General features: G+C 42.9%; 2 protein-coding genes and 1 long non-coding RNA gene across 4 annotated transcripts in view, besides 9 other annotated features; 2 read left to right on the forward strand and 1 right to left on the reverse strand.

The window, feature by feature from the left end:
* The window catches only part of RBM15-AS1 (RBM15 antisense RNA 1), a 52797-nt gene extending 40520 nt beyond the window's left edge, over positions 1-12277 (reverse strand). Inside the window, exon 1 of the long non-coding RNA NR_036595.1 lies at positions 12103-12277. This is a non-coding gene — a long non-coding RNA (RBM15 antisense RNA 1). The remainder of the gene's footprint in view (positions 1-12102) is intronic.
* On the forward strand, positions 7371-12109 carry LOC124904276 (uncharacterized). Its single transcript, XM_047437983.1, has one exon. The coding sequence runs from the start codon at positions 11541-11543 to the stop codon at positions 12045-12047; it is 507 nt and encodes a 168-aa protein (XP_047293939.1). The 5' UTR covers positions 7371-11540; the 3' UTR covers positions 12048-12109.
* Positions 11162-11351: an enhancer, noted in NCBI's record as "active region_1467". NCBI's record gives its function as "activates an Ori minimal core promoter by ATAC-STARR-seq in GM12878 lymphoblastoid cells {active_cell/tissue: GM12878}" and the evidence as "EXISTENCE:reporter gene assay evidence [ECO:0000049][PMID:35858748]".
* Positions 11452-11721: a silencer, noted in NCBI's record as "silent region_1173". NCBI's record gives its function as "represses an Ori minimal core promoter by ATAC-STARR-seq in GM12878 lymphoblastoid cells {active_cell/tissue: GM12878}" and the evidence as "EXISTENCE:reporter gene assay evidence [ECO:0000049][PMID:35858748]".
* RBM15 (RNA binding motif protein 15) lies at positions 12483-19783 on the forward strand. 2 transcript variants are annotated; one of them, NM_022768.5, is made up of 3 exons: positions 12483-15374; positions 18645-18755; positions 19414-19783. In NM_022768.5, exons 1-2 carry the CDS (start codon positions 12512-12514, stop codon positions 18713-18715), a joined length of 2934 nt encoding a protein of 977 aa, NP_073605.4. In that variant the 5' UTR covers positions 12483-12511; the 3' UTR covers positions 18716-18755; positions 19414-19783. The 2 variants fall into 2 exon arrangements, with proteins under 2 accessions (NP_073605.4, NP_001188474.1); NM_001201545.2 differs by lacking the exon at positions 18645-18755.
* Positions 12492-12791: an enhancer, noted in NCBI's record as "active region_1468". NCBI's record gives its function as "activates an Ori minimal core promoter by ATAC-STARR-seq in GM12878 lymphoblastoid cells {active_cell/tissue: GM12878}" and the evidence as "EXISTENCE:reporter gene assay evidence [ECO:0000049][PMID:35858748]".
* Positions 12822-12941: an enhancer, noted in NCBI's record as "active region_1469". NCBI's record gives its function as "activates an Ori minimal core promoter by ATAC-STARR-seq in GM12878 lymphoblastoid cells {active_cell/tissue: GM12878}" and the evidence as "EXISTENCE:reporter gene assay evidence [ECO:0000049][PMID:35858748]".
* Positions 12822-13650: a biological region, named in NCBI's record as "H3K27ac hESC enhancer GRCh37_chr1:110882428-110883166".
* Positions 12912-13650: an enhancer, noted in NCBI's record as "H3K27ac hESC enhancer chr1:110882428-110883166 (GRCh37/hg19 assembly coordinates)". NCBI's record gives its function as "activates a minimal SCP1, AML or CMV promoter by ChIP-STARR-seq in naive H9 embryonic stem cells {active_cell/tissue: H9 hESC(naive)}" and the evidence as "EXISTENCE:reporter gene assay evidence [ECO:0000049][PMID:30033119]".
* Positions 13022-13471: an enhancer, noted in NCBI's record as "active region_1470". NCBI's record gives its function as "activates an Ori minimal core promoter by ATAC-STARR-seq in GM12878 lymphoblastoid cells {active_cell/tissue: GM12878}" and the evidence as "EXISTENCE:reporter gene assay evidence [ECO:0000049][PMID:35858748]".
* Positions 14312-14877: an enhancer, noted in NCBI's record as "H3K27ac-H3K4me1 hESC enhancer chr1:110883828-110884393 (GRCh37/hg19 assembly coordinates)". NCBI's record gives its function as "activates a minimal SCP1, AML or CMV promoter by ChIP-STARR-seq in primed H9 embryonic stem cells {active_cell/tissue: H9 hESC(primed)}" and the evidence as "EXISTENCE:reporter gene assay evidence [ECO:0000049][PMID:30033119]".
* Positions 14393-14687: an enhancer, noted in NCBI's record as "tiled region #11911; K562 Activating DNase matched - State 2:TssF, and HepG2 Activating non-DNase unmatched - State 2:TssF". NCBI's record gives its function as "activates a minimal TATA promoter and a strong SV40 promoter by Sharpr-MPRA in K562 cells, with weak activation in HepG2 cells {active_cell/tissue: HepG2 | K562}" and the evidence as "EXISTENCE:reporter gene assay evidence [ECO:0000049][PMID:27701403]".
* Positions 19784-20963: the final 1180 nt, after the last annotated feature.

A 20963-nucleotide genomic window follows, 5' to 3' on the forward strand; every position in this document is an offset into this window, starting at 1 on the left:
TCTCTAAGCCTCAGTTTCTTTTTCTGAAGAAAAAGGGATTATAAGCCTACCTGTCTCCTGGGGTTGTTGTGAGGGTAAAGTAAGCTAATGTGAGGAAAGTTTTAGTGGAGTGCCTGGCATGTAGTATGTGCTCAATAAAGGCTGGCTTTTATTTGTCAGTGAATGGATCATGTGATGATTTATTTGTTCACATTTCTACTTTGGGAAGGAGAGGCAGCTTCTCAAGACCCATGTCATTTCCAACAACGTGTTTGACATGGGATACAGTGGAAAGTGTCCAGTGGTGGCAGTCAGTGGACTTGAGTTCTGTCCCTTGCAGACTTATGTGCCAAATTGGGAAAGTCACAAAACATAGAATTACAGGACTTGACAGGGAGAGATTCTGTCTAGAGAATCTGGGGCTCCTGAATGGTGCCACTGCTCCTTTCCCTTCAACTCTACTGCCTCCCTCTTTAAAAACAAAACAAGGAAGGCTGGGCATGGTGGCTCAAGCCTGTAATCCCAGCACTTTGGGAGGCTGAGGCGGGCGGATCACAAGGTCAGGAGATGGAGACCATCCTGGCTAACACAGTGAAACCCCATCTCTACTAAAAATACAAAAAATTAGCCGGGTGTGGTGGCCGGCACCTGTAGTCCCAGCTACTGGGGAGGCTGAGGCAGGAGAATCGCTTGAACCCAGGAGGCGGAGCTTGCAGTGAGCCGAGATCATGCCACTGCACTCCAGCCTGGGCAACAGAGTGAGACTCCATCTAAAAAAAAAAACCCAAAAAACAAAAAACAAAGCCGGGTGCAGTGGCTCACGCCTGTAATCTCAACACTTTGGTAGGCCGAGGCGGGTGGATTACCTGAGGTCAGGAGTTTGAGACCAGCCTGACCAAAATGCTGAAACCCCATCTCTACTAAAAATACAAAAAATTAGCCAGGCGTGGTGGCAGGTGCCTGTAATCCCAGCTACTCAGGAGGCTGAGGCAGGAGAATCCCTTGAACTTGCGAGGGCGGAAGTTGGAGTGAGCAGAGGTCGCACCATTGCACTCCAGCCTGGGCAACAAGAGCGAAACTCCATCTCAAAAAAAACAAAAAAACAAATACTACCAACGATAATCATAATTAGCTGAATTTTAGTTTTCTAAATCTGCAATTTAGTGTTCTAATCTGCAATTAAGATATTAATGTTTGTCTTTACTCATATGATTACTGTGAGAATCGAATTAGATAATGTAAGTCAAATCATGAAATGACATGCTATAATCGAATCCTACTAAGTACCATGGACTTTACATGCATTGTGTCATATAATTCACCCAGTATGGAGCTGTGGAAGAAACTGCTGGTTGGCCCCAGTGTCTGCTCTTCCCCTTTTCCTTAGATATAAAACCTCTGCTTTTCAGCTGGGCTAAAATAAATTTAAAAATACACTTCCCAGCCTCTCTTGCAGCTAAATGTAGCCAGATGTCTATGTTTTGGCTAATGAGATATAGGTGGAATTTTAGTGTGTCACTTCCAGGTAGTGTTGTAAAAGGAAGCTGGCATGCTGCTGTTCCTCCCTTCTTTCCTGTTGGCTGACTGGAATGCTTATCATGGCTGCAACTTGAGAAGCCATGTCAGATCATAATTCAGTAGAAGTGCAGAGCCACAAAATAGAAGGAAATAATCTGTTCCTTGAAAGTTTTCTGAGTCATTTAGAGGAAGTTGGAGATATCCCTTTACTTTACCCTTTGTGAACTGGAAGTATCTGAGACAGGTCTCAATCAATTAGAAAGTCTATTTTGCCAAAGTTAAGGACGCATGCCCGTGACACAGCCTCAGGAGGTCCTGACAACATGTACCCAAGGTGGTCAGGGCACAGTTTGGTTTTATACATTTTAGGGCGACATGAGACATCAATCAATACATGCAAGATGTACATTGGTTTGGTTGGGAAAAGTGAGACAACTTGAAGCGGGGAGGCAGCTTCCAGGTCATAGGTAGATAAGAGACAGATGGTTGCATTCTTTTTAGTTTCTCATTAGCCTTTCCAAAGGAAGCAATCAGATATGCATTTATCTTAGTGAGCAGAGGGATGACTTTGAGTTCTGTCTGTCCTTTGTCCGCAAGGAATTTCCCTGTGGACAAATTGTGAGTGAGGTATGTAGCTTTTTTATCTTAGTAGCTATCTTTTTTAGGAATAGAATGGGAAGCAGGTTTGCCCTAAGCAGTTCCAAGCTTGATTTTTCCCTTTGGCTTAGTGATTTGGGGATCCCACAATTTATTTTCCTTTCACACCTTAAGTATTTCAGCATGTGTTTCTGACCTTAAAGGCATTATCTTAATAACCCCAGAACACTGATCAAAATCAGGAACTATAACATTGGTACATTACTATTAACTAATTCATAATACATATTCAAATTGTATTAATTGTCCCAGTACAGGTTGAGCATCCTTAGCATGAAATTTCAAATGCTCCCAAACCCAAAACTTTTTGAGTACTGACATGAAGCCGCAAGTGGAAATTTCCACACATAAACGTTAACACAAACTTGGTTTCATGCACAAAATTATTATTACTTTATTTTCTTTTGAGACGGAGTCTTACCATATTGCCCAGGCTGGAGTGCAGTGGCACCATCTTGGCTCACTGCAACCTCCACCTCCCGGGTTCAAGTGATTCTCCTGTCTCAGCCCCCCAAGCAGCTGGGATTACAGGCGCATGCCACCATGCCCGGCTAATTTTTGTATTTTAGTAGAGACAGGGTTTCACCATGTTGGCCAGGCTGGTCTCGAACTCCTGACCTCAGGTGATCCGCCCGCCTTGGCCTCCCAAAGTGCTGGGATTACAGTCATGAGCCACCGCGCCCAGCCACAATTATTTAAAAGTTATAAGATATATATGAAACATAAATGAATTTCATGTTTAGACTTGGGTCCCATCCCCAAGATATCTCATTATGTATATGCAAATATTTCAAAATCCAGAAAAAAAAATCTGAAACACTTCTGGACCCAAGCATTTTGGATAAGAGATACTCCATTTGTTTTGTGCTTTATAGCTTCTTTTCCCATCTAGGATATAAGGTAGCATTAGGCATTGATTTTATTGACATGTCTCTCGTCTACTCTGGAAGAAATTCAACTTCTATAATTAAAAACTTGATAGCTAACTGGAATAAAGCGAATTTTCTTAAGGTAAGGATAATAAGAAAACAAACAAAATGCGTAATAAACATCATCTTAAATGGAGAAACGTTAGAAGTACTCCTTTTAAAATTAGGAATAATAAGCCAGGTGCAGTTGCTCACACCTGTAATCCCAGCGCTCTGGGAGGCCGAGGCGGATGGATCACCTGAGGACAGCAGTTCGAGACCAGCCTGACCAAAGTGGTGAAACCCCGTCTCTACTAACGTAGCAGGATGAGCTGCAGACAAAACCCCTCAGACACCAGGTTAAAGAAGGAAGAGGCATTATTCAGCTGGGAGCATCGGCAGAATTGCGTCTCAAGAACCGAGCTCCCCAAAGAAAGAGTTCCTGGCCCTTTTAAGGGCTTACAACTCTAAGAAGTCCACGTGAAAAGGTCGTGATAGATTGAGCAAGCAAGAGGTGTGTGACTATGTCCACAAACACTAGCGGCAGGGGTAAGCAAGGCAAGTATTTCTCTATACCATTGTCTGTGATCTATAGATAGCACGAGCAGTTAGGGTGGGTGTTAATCTTTTTTTTTTTTTTTTTAAGACAGAGTCTTGCTCTGTTGCCCAGGCTGGAGTGCAGTGGCACAGTCTCGGCTCACTGCAAGCTCCGCCTCCCGGGTTCACGCCATTCTCCTGTCTCAGCCTCCCGAGTAGCTGGGACTACAGGTGCCTGCCACCACGCCCAGCTAATTTTTTTTGTATTTTTAGTAGAGACAGGGTTTCACCATGTTAGCCAGGATGGTCTCGATCTCCTGACCTCGTGATCCGCCCTCCTCGGCCTCCCAAAGTGCTGGGATTACAGGCACGAGCCACCATGCCTGGCCAGGGTGAGGGTTAATCTTTAACCTACAGGCCTGGCCAGTGGCGCCGATCAGTCTGTTATTTTTCAGTTTTTACTTCCTCCTTTTCTTTGGAGACGGGACAGGAGGAGAAATGGCCTCTCTCCTCACTAAAAATAGAAAAAATTAGACAGACCTGTTGGTGCTCAGGAGGCTGAGGCAGGGGAATCACTGGAACCCAGGAGGCAGATGTTGCAGTGAGCCAAGATCATGCCATTGCACTCCAGCCTGGGCAACGAGAGTGAAACTCTGTCTCAAAAAATAAAAATAAAATAAAATAAGGAATAATAGTGCTCACCATCATTCTTTCTATGTAACATTCTATCAAAGATTCTATCAGTCAAAGTCAGCACAGTAACACCAGAAAAGCAAAATCATAAGGATTAGAAAGGAAGAAATATTCTTACTATTTGTAGATGATATGACTGCCTACATAAAAAACTAAAAGGGGGTCAGGCACAATGGCTCATGCTTGTAATCCCAGCACTTTGGGAAGCCAAGGTGGGGAGATTGCTTGAGCCCAGGAGTTCAAGATCAGCCTGGGCAATATGGTGAAACCCTATCTCCACTAAAAATACAAAAACTGAGGTGAGAGGATCACCTGAGCCTTGGGAGGTCGAGGCTGCAGTGAGCCGTGATCACACCACTGCCCTCCAGCCTGGGCAACAGAGTGAGACCCTGTCTCAAAAAAAAAAAAAAATTTAGCAAGGGCCTGTATTTCGAATCCTGACAACAGACAAATAAAAAGCATAATTTAATTTAAAAAGACACCATTACCAATAGTTACGAACCATACTAAAAGAGATGCAAGAGTATTCATCAAGTATACAAATTTTGCTGAAGGAAACGAAATAAGACCTAATTAAATGAAAAAATCCATATTCACTGAAATACTTTTTTAATAAGGAAAAATAATTTTTTTATAGGGAGACTTTTTTTTGTCTTTTTCTTTCCTTTTTGTGGAGAACAGGGTCTCGCTATGTGTTGCCCATGCAGATCTCAAACTCCTGGGCTCAAGCTATCCTCCCCTCTCTGCCTCCCTAAGTGCTGGGATTACAGGTATGAACCACTCTGCCTTATAATTTATAAGAAAGAACAAAAATTTAATATAGTCAAATACTGGTGGCAGGGTTGGGGAAAGTGATGAGGATTTCTTAGACAAGATACAGAAAGTGCTAACTATAAAATGTTGATAAATTCAATCTTATTTAAATTAAGAATTTGTATCTTAAATATCAGCTTAAATTGTGTGAAAAGATAAGCCACAACTAGAAAAAGATGTTTGCCATACATACACTCTATAATAAAGGATTAGGATCAAGAACATGTGAAAAACTCATACACCTATAAGAAACATACAATTCAATAGAGGAGCAAAATACATGAGTAGATATTTCATAGATGAAGAAATATATATGGCCAGTAAACTTATAAAGAGATATGCAACCTCACTAGTAATCAAGGAAATAAAATATCAAAACCACAGAGACATGCTATTTTATGTCCATTTGATTAAAAAAAGTTATAAAATGTTAGTGACGTGGATCAATAAGATCTCTTATACACTACTGATGAGACTGTAAATTGCTAAACACCACTTTAGAAAACAATTTGACATTATCCTGTGAAATTGAATATTCAATATAACCTTTTTTTTTTTTTTTTTTTTTTTAAGAGACAGGGAGGGTCTCACTATATTACCCAGGCTGGCCTTGAACTCCTGGGCTCAAGTGATCTGTCCACCTCAGCCTCCTGAGTAGCTGGGGTTACAGGCCAGCTTCAATATAACTTTTTAATCCAGTAATTCCACTCCTAGGTATCCTTCACCTCTCCATCCTATCCCAGGGGAATTCTTGCATGTGTGCCTCAGGACATATGAATGAGAATCTTCATCATAGCACTGCATTAGGCCATTCTGCGTTGCTATAAAGGAATACACAAGACTGGGGTAATTTATAAAGAAAAGAGGTTTTAACTGGCTCATAGTTCTGCAGGCTGTACAGGAAGCATGGTGCTGACATCTGCTCAGCTTCTGGTGAGGTTTTGGCCTGCTTACAATCATGGCAGAAGGCAAAGGGGGAGCCAGCATATCACATAGTGAGAGTGGGAGTGAGAGAGAGTGGAGTGACATATACTTTTAAACAACCAGAACTCTGGAGAACTCACTCACTATCACGAGGACAGCACCAAGCCATGAAGGATCCTCCCCCATGATCCAAATGCCTCTCACCAGGCCCCACCACCAACACTGAAGATAACATTTCAACATGAGATTAGAGGGGACAACATTCAAACTATATCAAGCACTCTTCATAATAGCACAAAAAGTAAAAAATACTCATAGCCCAAATCAAAAGAAGAATGGATATATAAGTAGTAGTATATTCAATATAATGGAATATTTTACAACAATGGAAATAAACTATAGCTACTATGTATGATAACATGCAAGAATCATAGTAACACAATAAATGAAAAATGCAAATCTCAGGAATTATATATAGTGTGTTGTTCGAATACACGTTTGTATAAAGTTCAAAAACAACCGAAATGAAAAGAATATACTTTTAAAGTATGTGTGTGCACACATGTGCAAGCACACACACGTGAACTCTTTAAAATTCCTTTAAAAATTCCTTTACAAGGCAAGGATTGTTAAATGCTAGATTCAGGATATCTATGAAGATGGGCAGTAGACAGGATAGAGGAGCAGCATTTAGGTAGATGTAAATTACTGATAATTTTCTATTTGTTTGAGTGCTGGATTGAGTGCTGGGTTCAGGGATATTCATTATGTTATTAATAAATAATAAACATTGAATGGCCCATATATGGACCATTGATGATTGTATACCATGAATTAAAGATTACAATTAATCCAATTCTATGTACCCAAGTTCAAAGAGAAAATATATTAATAATAGCAATCATTTATATAGTGCTTACCATGTGCCAGGCACTGTGCTAAGCTCTTTATATAGTTTAACCCATTTAATTTTCCCTGTGAGGAGAAAACCAAGGCCCAGAGAGGTTACCAGTAACTCTTCTGAGGCCCATAGCAGAGCTGGGATTTAATCCAGGCTCGCAGCCTCCAGAGTCTGTACTCTTAATCACTACCCTATAAGGTGTCTAAATAAATAAAAGAGATAATTATATTACAGCTTAGTCATGAAAAAGTTATAGCAGAGTGCTTTCTATAACAATATTAAAGGAGGAACCACATGGACAGCTCTGTAAGGATACTAAAACCCCCTGAATTGTATTACTTTGAGTGGGTAAACTTTATGGTATATAAATTATATCTTAATAAAGCTGTTAAAAAAAACCCTCACAGACCACAAATAGTGATTTTGTAACACAAACTGGGTCCTGAATGCTTGTTTGCTACTTGTGGGACTTAATATTTGCCTAAGGGTAAAAAGATACACTTTTTCTGGAGACCAAACAACATAAACCTCACTGTCAAGACACCACTCATTTTATGAAGGAAGATGAAATAGAAAATTTTAATCTGCTATCATGGATAGGAAAAAATTTTCAATTCCCAGCTTTAGCCTCTTTTTTGCATCTGCCAGGAAATTGGATGGCTCTCAACTCTCAAGATAAATTTCATATTGCAGTTGTAATATTTTGTGCGTATATTGAGGATACACAAACAATAAAACCTAGGAAAGATGAGGGTGGAAAGAGGACATTTGATTGAAAACATACACATAAGTTTAAGATGCCAGTATGTTTTCAATCTTTATTAAGCTTAATTTATATACCATAAAGTTTATGCATTTAAAATACACAATTCTAAAATTAGCTGGGCGTGGTTGTGCATACCTGTAATCCCAGCTACTTTGGAGGCTGAGGCAGGAGAATCACCTCAACCCGGGAGGTGGAGGCTTCAGTGAGCTGAGATTGCATCACTGCACTCCAGCCTAGGCAACTGATCAACACTCCATCAAATAAATAAATAAATAAATAAATAAAGTATACAATTCAGTGGTTTTGTTTTTTTTTTTACTATCCTTACAGAGCTGCTCTGATGCTCAGGGAATCTGCTGGTAACTTAACTCTGTTTTCTTTCATTTTTTTCTTTTTTGAGACAGTCTTGATCTGTCGTCCAGGCCGGAGTGCTGTGGCACCATTTCAGCTCACTGCAACCTCTGTCTCCTGGGTTCAAGCGATTTTCCTGCCTTCGCCTCCCGAGTAGCTGGGATTACAGGCATCTGCTACCAGGCCTGGCTAAGTTTTGTATTTTTAGTAGAGACACGGGGTGGGGTTTCACCATGTTGGCCATGCTGATCTCCAACTCCTGACCTCAAGTGATACACCCGTCTTGGTCTCCCAAAGTGCTGGGATTACAGGCGTGAGCCACTTTGTCCAGCCCTGTTTTCATGACCACCGAAAATCCTCCTCACCTAGGTCAGCTCTCCTCACAAATCTGGCCATTGATCACAAAGAGATCAAATGAAAGCTCAGGTTGCACCTTAACAATTCCAACAGCAACAGCAAAAGAAGGGTTCAAAGTCCTGGCCAACTAAACCATGGGTCACTTTTATCCACTTTTACACATGTGCCCTCTCTAAAGCACACATGTAAACAGAGGATAAAACCTAACTTGGTTGGGTGCAGTGGCTCACATCTGTAATCCCAGTGCTTTGGGGAGGCTGAGATAGGAGGATCACTTGAGGCCAGTAGTTTGAGATAAGCCTGGGCAACATGGCTAGACCCCATTGCTACAAAAAATTAAAAAATTAGCTTAGTGTGGTGGTGTGTGCCTGTGGTCCTAGCTACATGGAAGGCTGAATCGGGAGGATTGCTTGAGCCCAGGAATTTGAGGTTGCAGTGAGTTATGACTGCACCATTACACTCCAGCCTGGGTGACAGAGCAAGTCCCTGTCTCTAAAACAAAAACAAAAACAAAACAAAACAACAAAAAAGAAAAAACAAAAAAAATAAAAAACTCACTAAGCAGCTTTATGCTTTAAAGCAGGGGTTCCCAGACCCCAGGCTGTGGACCAGTAATGGTCAGTTGCCTGTTAGGACCTGGCTGCACAGCAGGTGAGGGGCAGGGGAGGGAGCATTACTGCCTGAGCTCTGCCTCCTGACAGATCAGCAGAGGCATTTGATTCTCAGAGGAGGGCTAACCCTATTGTGAATGGAGTATGTGAGGGATGTGGGTTGTGTGTTCCTTATGATAATCTAATGCCTGATGATCTGAGGTGGAACAGTTCCATGAAGCTGGTCCCTGATGCCAAAAAGTTTGGGGACCACTGCTTTAAAGAACACAAAGGATTTTCAGGTAGTATCTGCTGGAAGCCAGGGGAGGGGGTAATTTTGGGGGCAATAACACAAAGGAAATGAAAACAATCACTTATTTTAACTACAGCATGGATCCAACTTATTCATTTGTTGTGGAAACACACACACACACACACACACATACACATCACAGGCAATATTTTGGCTGTTACTCTTAATGGAATCTAGGCCTTTTCCATCTAACCATAAAACTTACTAGCACTCTTGGCTCCAGGCAGATTTCCAGTCCCCCTAGGCAAGCCTTTGTACTATAGCCAGCTGCAGGCAGTAGCTTCCATCAAGCTCCCTGGTATTTGAAGTGGCAAGCCACTAAACTTGGCATGCCTCTGGTGCATGTTCACACAGACTGGGTGTCTGTTTATCTCCCTGAATTATTTCTCTCAAATCTTGTGCTCCCTCAACCCCTATCTTGAAGTTTGGAAAACTACTGATTTGGTCATTATCTTTTTCTTTGATCAGTGAGTCACCTTAGCAGGTCTATTTAGGTTAAAAAGTCACTCTGGTGCCTGGTTTATTATCTCGATTGGTTATTACATTGAGTAATCAGATAATGGCTTAACTTCAATTTCCATTTGTGGTCTATTAATATAACCTTGAAACAGATTTAAACCCAGCTATAACTTTTTATTTCATGCTTTTACAAATAATGTGTTCATGTGTTTTTTATCCTCCAGCATCCAGATTTTTATCTTTAAATACCATCTCCCACTAAAAGGAACCAGAGCTCTCTGGAGAAATGGCTGATTCCACAACTGGGGCAGGAAATGTATCAGGTAAGTCTGGAAGAAAATAATGGAGAAAAGAAGAGTGGGAAGAGTGATGCAGATGAAACAAGATTGACATGATTTGATAATTGCTGAAATAGGGTGTTGGGTACACATGGGAGTTCTTTAAAGTATTCTTTTATATATTTTAAACTTTTTCCATAAAAATAGTTTAAGGAAAGTTAAAAATGTTATTTTTTAAACTGAAGGAGTAATAGCGCCCTTTGTAGAAACAAAAGATTTCTACAAAGAAAAGTAAAGTCTCCCTCCTACTCCAGACCCTCGCACACCTCTTCAGGGCAATCCTAGTAACAATTTCCCGTGTATTTGTCAAGAAAGTTTCCATGAAAATATATTTTTTAAATGTACATACTCATAAATACAAACATTTTTAAAACCACAAATGGTAGCGTATTATACACATTATTTTATGCCTTATGAAGTTTTATTTCCCATTTTAATACAATGAAGATGTCTACACATTACAATATTGTGGATTTTTATGCTTTACAATTGAGCTTCTTCCTTCGAGTTTCTTTGATCTAATCAAGAGATAGAAGGCCTCCAGCTTCACATTCCTCACGATTATTTACAAAAAGAAGGATGGCTCAGCCAAGGCTAAATTTAGGTTACAGTCCCTAATCTTAACACAGTTTTTAAGTTTAGGTTTCAGCTTTTGGGATATTATTGTTACCTTGAAAAATGTCACGTTTAAAAACACCTCACACCCTCTACTATAGATTGGATCTTGGGAAATAGGGTTGAGGACCGGATCAATACAAGAATCCTCATAACCTCCGCCCCGGCGCGAACCTGGGAGGGCTGCAGACAGTCTAAAGGCTGTGGTGACCTCAGCGCTGCGTCCCTCCAGCAACCGGCGAGTGCTGGGGCACAGGCCATACCCCCCTAAGCTCGGCATCGCCTGCACCTCTCACAGGTGCTCTGTCCGCCACAGTAACGCACTATGGAAAGGAAAGTTGTACGGCGAACGACTGAAGGAGCCAAACGAGGTGGATCTGGAGCGGCCGCAAGGTGCCTGTGCTGCTGGCTTTTAACACACAATAAGAGTGCCAAGGGATACAAGAAGCCACAGGGGGAAAAACAAGTGACATATCTGCATGGAGCCTAAATTTCGCTTGGTGATTTTCAGGGTAGAAGCATTACATATTAAAAACACTGCTATTTTAGGGGAATACAGAATTTAAAAATCCACACAGATTCGCAACATAAAACATGCCGCCCAAAGACACGTCCGCGGTGTCCCGACAGTTCCGGCTCCGCCCGCGGGCCACGAGGCGGGGAGCGACGGTCACTCCCCTCGGTTACCCGGAGTACTTGGGCGGGAACGGGTAGCTCGCGGGAGAGACGGGCTCCTGGGCGAGGGCTGCGTCTTAGTCGCCCTGCTTCTTAGCTCTCGAGGTCCCGCGTGTTACGTGTTAGCACCGCCCGGGGGCGTCAGCATGACCCGAGGCTGCAGGAACCGTGAACTCTCTGCCCCGCGGGCCCAGGTGACCGCGGGCGGCGCTCTCCCGCGCGCGGGGGGCGGGGCTCCCCCCGGCTGTTCACTCAGCTACCACAGCGACGTAAAATGGTGTCCGCTAGGCGTCCCAGGACGGCTTCCTGAGGGACTGGAGGGCCCCGACAGCCGGAAAGCCTGCCCCGCCCCTTGGCCGGCACAGGTACGACGGCGGGGAGCTCAGAAGTTTCGAACTCCAAGGGCCGAAGCACAGCCAAACACCCCACGGAACTTAACAAATGTTTGTGGGGAGAACGCCGAAAACGCGGGGAGGCGGGGCTGGCGCACAGTCACCCTCTCGCGACATCTAAGTGACGTCGCACAGCAAGCACGTGTTCTAGTCTTTCACCTTCAGTCAGCCTCCTCCGTTATACAGGCCTACCCCTTTAAGCGAGTGATGGACAGTTATTTCAGCCTATCAACTTCCTTGCCGACATCCAATCAGATTTAAACTTCTTTTAGCCGCCGGAGGAGTTGGAAAAAGGGGGTCGAAAGAGGGAGCTTACCGTCTCTCGCGATATCGCTGTGAGCCTGCCTCTCTGGAAAAAACGCCGAAACTGATGGCCCGACCTCCCAAATAGTGGTTTAAAGGACGGGTTTATAAGCCAATGAAAGGGATAAGGAGGTGGGTTGCTGCTGTCACTGAGCAAGAAGTACCGTTACAGGGCAGACTTTTTGTCCAATCAACACCTCAACACTTTGGGTCACGTGACCGCAGAGTGCGAGGGGCGGAGCTACAGTCTGGCGCGAGGAACCGTTAAGATAGACAACAAATGTAACCAATGAGGTACTCCGACTAGGGGGTTGGGAACCCAATAACAGTGGTTGGGCGGGCGCCTTCCTGGAGCGCGGGGAGATGTAAAGATAGACAAATAATTTTCCCAATGAGACTGTAGAAGAGAGAGCAATTGGCCAATGAGGACTGCGGGGCGGGACCCTGTGCCGCGGCGGAGTCCAAGATGGCGGCGTGCGGTTCCGCTGTGTGAAACGAGCGCGGGGCGGCGGGTTACTCAGCTCCGCGGAGACGACCTCCGACGACCCGCAACAATGAAGGGAAAAGAGCGCTCGCCAGTGAAGGCCAAACGCTCCCGTGGTGGTGAGGACTCGACTTCCCGCGGTGAGCGGAGCAAGAAGTTAGGGGGCTCTGGTGGCAGCAATGGGAGCAGCAGCGGAAAGACCGATAGCGGCGGTGGGTCGCGGCGGAGTCTCCACCTGGACAAGTCCAGCAGTCGAGGTGGCAGCCGCGAGTATGATACCGGTGGGGGCAGCTCCAGTAGCCGCTTGCATAGTTATAGCTCCCCGAGCACCAAAAATTCTTCGGGCGGGGGCGAATCGCGCAGCAGCTCCCGGGGTGGAGGCGGGGAGTCACGTTCCTCTGGGGCCGCCTCCTCAGCTCCCGGCGGCGGGGACGGCGCGGAATACAAGACTCTGAAGATAAGCGAGTTGGGGTCCCAGCTTAGTGACGAAGCGGTGGAGGACGGCCTGTTTCATGAGTTCAAACGCTTCGGTGATGTAAGTGTGAAAATCAGTCATCTGTCGGGTTCTGGCAGCGGGGATGAGCGGGTAGCCTTTGTGAACTTCCGGCGGCCAGAGGACGCGCGGGCGGCCAAGCATGCCAGAGGCCGCCTGGTGCTCTATGACCGGCCTCTGAAGATAGAAGCTGTGTATGTGAGCCGGCGCCGCAGCCGCTCCCCTTTAGACAAAGATACTTATCCTCCATCAGCCAGTGTGGTCGGGGCCTCTGTAGGTGGTCACCGGCACCCCCCTGGAGGTGGTGGAGGCCAGAGATCACTTTCCCCTGGTGGCGCTGCTTTGGGATACAGAGACTACCGGCTGCAGCAGTTGGCTCTTGGCCGCCTGCCCCCTCCACCTCCGCCACCATTGCCTCGAGACCTGGAGAGAGAAAGAGACTACCCGTTCTATGAGAGAGTGCGCCCTGCATACAGTCTTGAGCCAAGGGTGGGAGCTGGAGCAGGTGCTGCTCCTTTCAGAGAAGTGGATGAGATTTCACCCGAGGATGATCAGCGAGCTAACCGGACGCTCTTCTTGGGCAACCTAGACATCACTGTAACGGAGAGTGATTTAAGAAGGGCGTTTGATCGCTTTGGAGTCATCACAGAAGTAGATATCAAGAGGCCTTCTCGCGGCCAGACTAGTACTTACGGCTTTCTCAAATTTGAGAACTTAGATATGTCTCACCGGGCCAAATTAGCAATGTCTGGCAAAATTATAATTCGGAATCCTATCAAAATTGGTTATGGTAAAGCTACACCCACCACCCGCCTCTGGGTGGGAGGCCTGGGACCTTGGGTTCCTCTTGCTGCCCTGGCACGAGAATTTGATCGATTTGGCACCATACGCACCATAGACTACCGAAAAGGTGATAGTTGGGCATATATCCAGTATGAAAGCCTGGATGCAGCGCATGCTGCCTGGACCCATATGCGGGGCTTCCCACTTGGTGGCCCAGATCGACGCCTTAGAGTAGACTTTGCCGACACCGAACATCGTTACCAGCAGCAGTATCTGCAGCCTCTGCCCTTGACTCATTATGAGCTGGTGACAGATGCTTTTGGACATCGGGCACCAGACCCTTTGAGGGGTGCTCGGGATAGGACACCACCCTTACTATACAGAGATCGTGATAGGGACCTTTATCCTGACTCTGATTGGGTGCCACCCCCACCCCCAGTCCGAGAACGCAGCACTCGGACTGCAGCTACTTCTGTGCCTGCTTACGAGCCACTGGATAGCCTAGATCGCAGGCGGGATGGTTGGTCCTTGGACCGGGACAGAGGTGATCGAGATCTGCCCAGCAGCAGAGACCAGCCTAGGAAGCGAAGGCTGCCTGAGGAGAGTGGAGGACGTCATCTGGATAGGTCTCCTGAGAGTGACCGCCCACGAAAACGTCACTGCGCTCCTTCTCCTGACCGCAGTCCAGAATTGAGCAGTAGCCGGGATCGTTACAACAGCGACAATGATCGATCTTCCCGTCTTCTCTTGGAAAGGCCCTCTCCAATCAGAGACAGACGAGGTAGTTTGGAGAAGAGCCAGGGTGACAAGCGAGACCGTAAAAACTCTGCATCAGCTGAACGAGATAGGAAGCACCGGACAACTGCTCCCACTGAGGGAAAAAGCCCTCTGAAAAAAGAAGACCGCTCTGATGGGAGTGCACCTAGCACCAGCACTGCTTCCTCCAAGCTGAAGTCCCCGTCCCAGAAACAGGATGGGGGGACAGCCCCTGTGGCATCAGCCTCTCCCAAACTCTGTTTGGCCTGGCAGGGCATGCTTCTACTGAAGAACAGCAACTTTCCTTCCAACATGCATCTGTTGCAGGGTGACCTCCAAGTGGCTAGTAGTCTTCTTGTGGAGGGTTCAACTGGAGGCAAAGTGGCCCAGCTCAAGATCACTCAGCGTCTCCGTTTGGACCAGCCCAAGTTGGATGAAGTAACTCGACGCATCAAAGTAGCAGGGCCCAATGGTTATGCCATTCTTTTGGCTGTGCCTGGAAGTTCTGACAGCCGGTCCTCCTCTTCCTCAGCTGCATCAGACACTGCCACTTCTACTCAGAGGCCACTTAGGAACCTTGTGTCCTATTTAAAGCAAAAGCAGGCAGCCGGGGTGATCAGCCTCCCTGTGGGGGGCAACAAAGACAAGGAAAACACCGGGGTCCTTCATGCCTTCCCACCTTGTGAGTTCTCCCAGCAGTTCCTGGATTCCCCTGCCAAGGCACTGGCCAAATCTGAAGAAGATTACCTGGTCATGATCATTGTCCGTGGTGCGTCCTAAAGTCCATGTGTAACTTGTATTTACTACTTTGACATGGTTCCTGTTTTGTGATGTGTAATGGGATACAGCATCAGATGCAATTTTCTTTTTAGTTGTTAGTTGTAGCATTTTCTTTTTTATATTTTTATAAACGTCTTTAAAATAGAAATCAGGACAGTTTAGCTATTTTTTTGTTTGTTTAGCTATTATTTTAAGTGAAAGGGATGCCCTAAAGGTAGCAGGCAGGCAGACAGATTTGCTTTAATTAGGAGTTCCCACCCTTATGAGTAATTTTTTTTCTCTATTCAGTTGTTTTTTTTTTAATCTTGAGCTTAAAAAATCCTCAGAGTTACAAAACCAAAATTTTGAAAAGTCAGAATTTGGAGAAAGGAGTCCACTGACCATATAAAGAGAGTAATAGCCACCTAAAAATGACTCGATTGGTGTGTAGGTAAATAATTCTTTTACCAGAAATGTGTGTGACTGAAATTTGATCAGGGATCTCAAAGATATGCTGGTAAATTGTATAGCAATGTAATTATTTTAATCAGGTATTTGAGTATTTCTTAAGATACAGTTTATTCCCAGAGAGTTTGCTTTAACATGCATTTTTTAAATCATTTGTTCTAGAGTTCTGTATCCCATATATGCACTTTTGGTTTGTAGCAGTAACTGTTCAGTAAAAATTAAGGACTATGTTACAAACCATATATGTCTTATGCTTACACTAGTATGCAAGAAGTGAGTAGGTGCTTTTAAAATCAGAATTCTTTGGTCAGTTATTGGTGTGTGGTGGTGTTTTTACTGACTTTTTCAGAGAGGTGTAGCAGGTACAGTTCTAATCGTGCATATTTCGAAACTAAGTGTTCTTCATCAAAGATGAGTTTTTGTTTTTGTATCAATTCAAATTTCTGGTTTCAATAATAGAAAGAAGAGTTGTCTGCAGGCTCATAGTCATCTTTTATTTCAGTGGGCATTTAAATCAGCCATATTTGGATTGCAGAATTTCTTAAAAAGTCATCATAAAATGCCTTTGACATGCTCTTTTAAAATTTTGCTTGTCTTTTTATTTTCATATTTAAACAGTAGTGACATTACATTATTGAAAATGTTTTGAACATCTTGGAAATTTTATGTTCAATATTCTCACTGCTGTCCAGCTACGGAATTGAAATGTCAGTGTAGGAAAACCTTTTTTAATTGTTTTATTTTCCCAGACACCCGGAATTAATACAGGATCATTTAACTTAGCCTCACAGTTTTTTTTTTTTCAAAGGTGAGATGATATCAACCTCTGGTTCTCAACAAGGACTTTTGCTGCTTAACAGTAATGGATTTTTTTTTTTTAATCTATCCCCTCTGTCCCACCCCTAATTTGTCAGGTCATTAGTAAGTATATTTTTCTCCCTTGATTTAAGTGCTGAAGACTTCAGCTAAGGCCCTTGATATTTAATTATGATTAGAGACTTTTGGACCTTCTGGATCATGGTCATGTTTCTGTTCTATGAAAGTGACTTAACTTGAAGCCTGGCAGAACCCAACTGTTTTCTTTCTGTTATCAAAGCTGGTAGTTTTGAAATAGCACCAATAATAACCCAGGGAAATGTCATGTAATTTTTATTTTCCATTATGACAGGTGTCTAATGCATGTCAGCACAAAAGTGTCATCACTGCTGTGTCATCCCTCTTGGTTTTCACTATGCATCTATAATTTTTTAAGTTTGCAGGTTTTGTGGGGGTTTTTGTTTGTTTGTTTTTAAACTGGAAAAACTAGCCATTTTGAGAGAAGGAAGGTTCTAGGCTATGAGCATGAAGGTCCTTGTGCCTCTTGGGAAAATACCTGAAATCCTATAATGAAGACTTTTGATGCTTCTTGCTTTCAAAAAGCTGTGGTTGGTTTGGAGTAGACACCTGTTCAGAAACTAATGCAAGTGTGGAGTCTACATACGTGGGCTCATAGTATAATTTGTGGCCAGCTACATTTTTCCAGTTTAAATAAACTCACTAACCATTAATTTTTGAATATCTTTTGTTGAGATAGTTGGACAAATGATTTTGCTCTTTTGGAGAGTGAAGTCCATGACATCTAATTTTACTGTCATCCAAAATGTGTGTTTTATTTCTTTTCTTTTACTTTCTTTTTTTTTGTTTGTTTTTTGTTTTTTGTTAGTGTGACAGCGTACAGAAGAGTACTGTGTTTTTGCTCCATGTTTGTTTGAATCTTTACCTGACATTGCCGCTTTTGTTAGGTCTGGGCAATTTGTGCTTCAGTGTTTTTGAAACAATGGCTTGATACCATTTCTAAATGTATGTATTATAAAAAACTAATTATGTTTAGTTGGTCATTACCTACAGAGTGCCATAGTCCACATGAACCTCATATTTGTACTGCCCATTCTTTTGTGCAGGTTCATAATATCCATAAAGTATCTAGTTAAACCTTAAGAATTCAAATGAAAGCAAAAGTCTAAAACCGGTTCTACTTCTCATTAGCCAGGATTTAATAATCCCAACGTTGAATGTTCTTTGTAACAACCAATTTTTTTCTATCTTTCTTCTTTAATTATTTTAATGTAGTTGATTTTTCTGGAACTCAGTTAAAATGAATGGAAAGAAAACTTCAGGATATCATTTAATGACTATTAAGTATTATTGGTAAAAACGTGAAGATAAGACTTTTAGATCACAGCTTCAAATTTTATGGAAAATTAAGCAAGCAATACCTAGCCAATAGTTCTGCTTAACTTTTTGGTTAAGTATTTTGTTGGGATTCCTATAAATAATTTTTCACACAAAGTTTTAAATTTCTGGTGTACTTTGACTCTCAACTGAGAGTGGATAGAGTTTTTCTTTTGAGGATTACATCTTAAAATGTCCATCGCCTGGCTGGTTATAAGCATTTGTCACCTTTTGAAGGTAAAATATACTCTGGCCCTTCTTGACTCAGTTACAGGTCATTTTAGGTCCAGTAATAAGAGTCAGGTGTTTGGTTATTGCTTTCAGAGTCAGACATTGTTTAGGTTTATTTAAAAACTATTAGCAGGTTTTCACTGACAATGCTTTTTTAAAAATAAAAAATGTAAATCCACTTTTTTAAGGCAGATTGTTCATTATGCATATACAGCTTGAACTATAGTTTGGGTCCATATAGGAACCAATCACCAAAAACTCTGGTAACAGAATTAGGAAATCCTCTTGAGAAGAGGGCCTTAATGACCTTTTATGTGAAAAAAATTTTGGAGAGAATTTCTGGACATTTTTTTTTCTGTCTCTCTCACAGGGTTTGGTTTTCAGATAGGAGTTAGGTATGAGAACAAGAAGAGAGAAAACTTGGCGCTGACCCTGTTATAGTGGTTATAGTGGTGTCCCTAAAGGGAGGAAATGATTTCAGGTAACCACAGTGAAATGTTAAGCTGAATGAAGAGTTTTATATGTATGGTTTAAACAGAGTTGAAAAGTGAGATTCCTGAAGTGTTCTTTGGCTGTTTAACAATTATTTGTATGAGTGTTTTATTAAAATAACGGCTGCTGTCTTTGGTAACATAGATGAGGGTGGATTTTTAAATGGCTTTGTATCGACCCCTTTCTACAATAATGGAGTAGTCTATGTTGCTCCATATAAATTACAGAATGAAAATAGATGGGGCAAAAGTTTGACTAAACTTTACCTTTTTATAGTTTCACTTTTTAAGTTATATTTAGAATATATTGATAGATTATAAATTGATTGTGAAACTTTTTTCTGAATTTTTTCAACATGTTTTACTCAGTTACATGAGTTAAAGGATATTTTCAGTCCTGTTATCTTCAATTGCAGTCTTTAAAAAAACCCACCCTATTGTTCTACTTGTTATATGTCTATTCATACAGTAAATTCATTTCAAGGTTTATGCCAGTGGGTATTATTGGTGCTTTTTGAAGTTGAGGTGAACCATCCAGGAAGGTCTTGTTAATGTTATGTTCATCTATAATGGCATAGGGGAAATATATATATTTTTAATATTGTAAACATTTGTACTGAATAACCTTTTTTTCCCCCCCTCCGCAAGCAAAACTGGTTGAACAGCGGATGAAGATATGGAATTCAAAGCTCTAATGGACCTTTTTGAAGAGAAGTTGTGGCTTATGTGGAGTTTACATGGGCCTCTGATGGAAGAAAGCTAATCTGTTTAGTATTTGTGCATTTTACTAAAATGGCAGCTTAAAGTTGTGTATCTGCTATTGTGATGCCAATGCCGGTGTTTTAAGTGGAAAAAAAATGACCTCTTTGATTTGTGCTGTGTACACAAGATTTCTGGAAAAGTAAAGAAAAACCCTTTTTATGGCTCACACAGCTTAAGAGTAGCTGTCTCTCAAACGTGCGCTCACAGTTGAGCTGCTTTTGTTTTATTCTAAATAAATTGTTTCTTTTGAGGAAAATGTTTTTCTGCCTGGAAGTGAATTGACGGCAAACCTTTGACCCCTTTGTTTGCAGCCGAGGGGGTGCTTGCTGCTGCTCAGATCTTGTATGTCTTGAGCAAGAAGCAGGGAGACCATCAATTTCATTTTGACTATCACGGTGTGTCAATTCTGAAGGATCACTAGTGTTACTGTTGACCCCCTTTGTTTGCAGTGAAGGGGATCATTTGCTTCTCGGTTCTCAACGTGATGAGGAAATGGTGCTGTTTGCTGGCACGCAAGAAGCCGGGGCAGGCACCCTAAGCCTCACCACAGTGCCTGAGTCGGGGGCTTTTGCTGGTTTGAAGAGCTGGAGTTGCTGAAATTTAAGTTTTGATTTATTTTGTTCACCCATCACGTTTGGCCTTAGTTTCATTTTTAATTTGAAGAAAAGTTTGAAATTGCTTTATCTTGCACTTAACATTTGCACCAAATTGCCAAAAGAAGGAGAAATGCTCCGTTTGCTTTTTAAATGTTAATGATGATGTTAATAAAGCCTTTCCTGACACATTTGAGGAGCTCCTCCGTCTCCAGGGGCTTCTTACCAGAGTTATGCAGTGATGGGTTTAGTTCTGAATGGATGAAGAGTTCCTGAGAGCTAGCGTTTGTAATTAGAACCGTTACTTGGTATCTGTGCCTTATTTGACCTTTGGTTCCACATGCCTTGGATGTGCATGCACCGTGACGGTTTCATAGGTACGAACGCACACTCAGGCCCAGTCACTTCGGTTGGTAGTACAGATTGTGAGGAAAAAGATGGAGGCATCCTTAAGGAGGAAAAATGTTTGCCTTTAGTTCCTGCATTATCCTGTACAGAGGGGCTCCTGAGTTTTGGAAGCCTGTTCCCAGTACAGGAGAACAACTCCCCTGTTTGCAGCAGGAGACTTCAGTGCACGGTGACAACGCTGGAGTTCAAGAGGAAGCCAGCAATGCTGCACCATTGGCTTCAGACACCATTGTTGTTGTTTGCCAGTTTTAAACTTAACTAGTTGCAGACGAAGACCACCTTGAAATGCAGGCTTGTTGGGCTTGTTTTGAATTTTAACCTCGGATGGAAGAGCCCTAGTGCTGTCTGTCTCCATGCGGGATGATGATTGCTAGGCAACAGGTGATTATCAACAAAGGATGCCACGGTTATACTCTGCAAGGTGGTGTTCCAGTG

The sequence above is a fragment of the Homo sapiens genome, chromosome 1 (genome assembly GCF_000001405.40).
Source record: "Homo sapiens chromosome 1, GRCh38.p14 Primary Assembly".
NCBI classification, from domain to species: domain Eukaryota; kingdom Metazoa; phylum Chordata; class Mammalia; order Primates; family Hominidae; genus Homo; species Homo sapiens.

What these genes read in the sequence shown, in the direction of transcription:
- RBM15 (NM_022768.5), top strand. Translation starts at nt 12,512, where the DNA reads ATGAGGACTGCGGGGCGGGACCCTGTGCCGCGGCGGAGTCCAAGATGG. An exon ending in GGTCATGATCATTGTCCGTG is followed by an intron (nt 15,375 to 18,644) that starts GTGCGTCCTAAA and finishes TCTCTCTCACAG; the next exon opens with GGTTTGGTTTTCAGATAGGA.
- LOC124904276 (XM_047437983.1), top strand. Translation starts at nt 11,541, where the DNA reads ATGACCCGAGGCTGCAGGAACCGTGAACTCTCTGCCCCGCGGGCCCAG.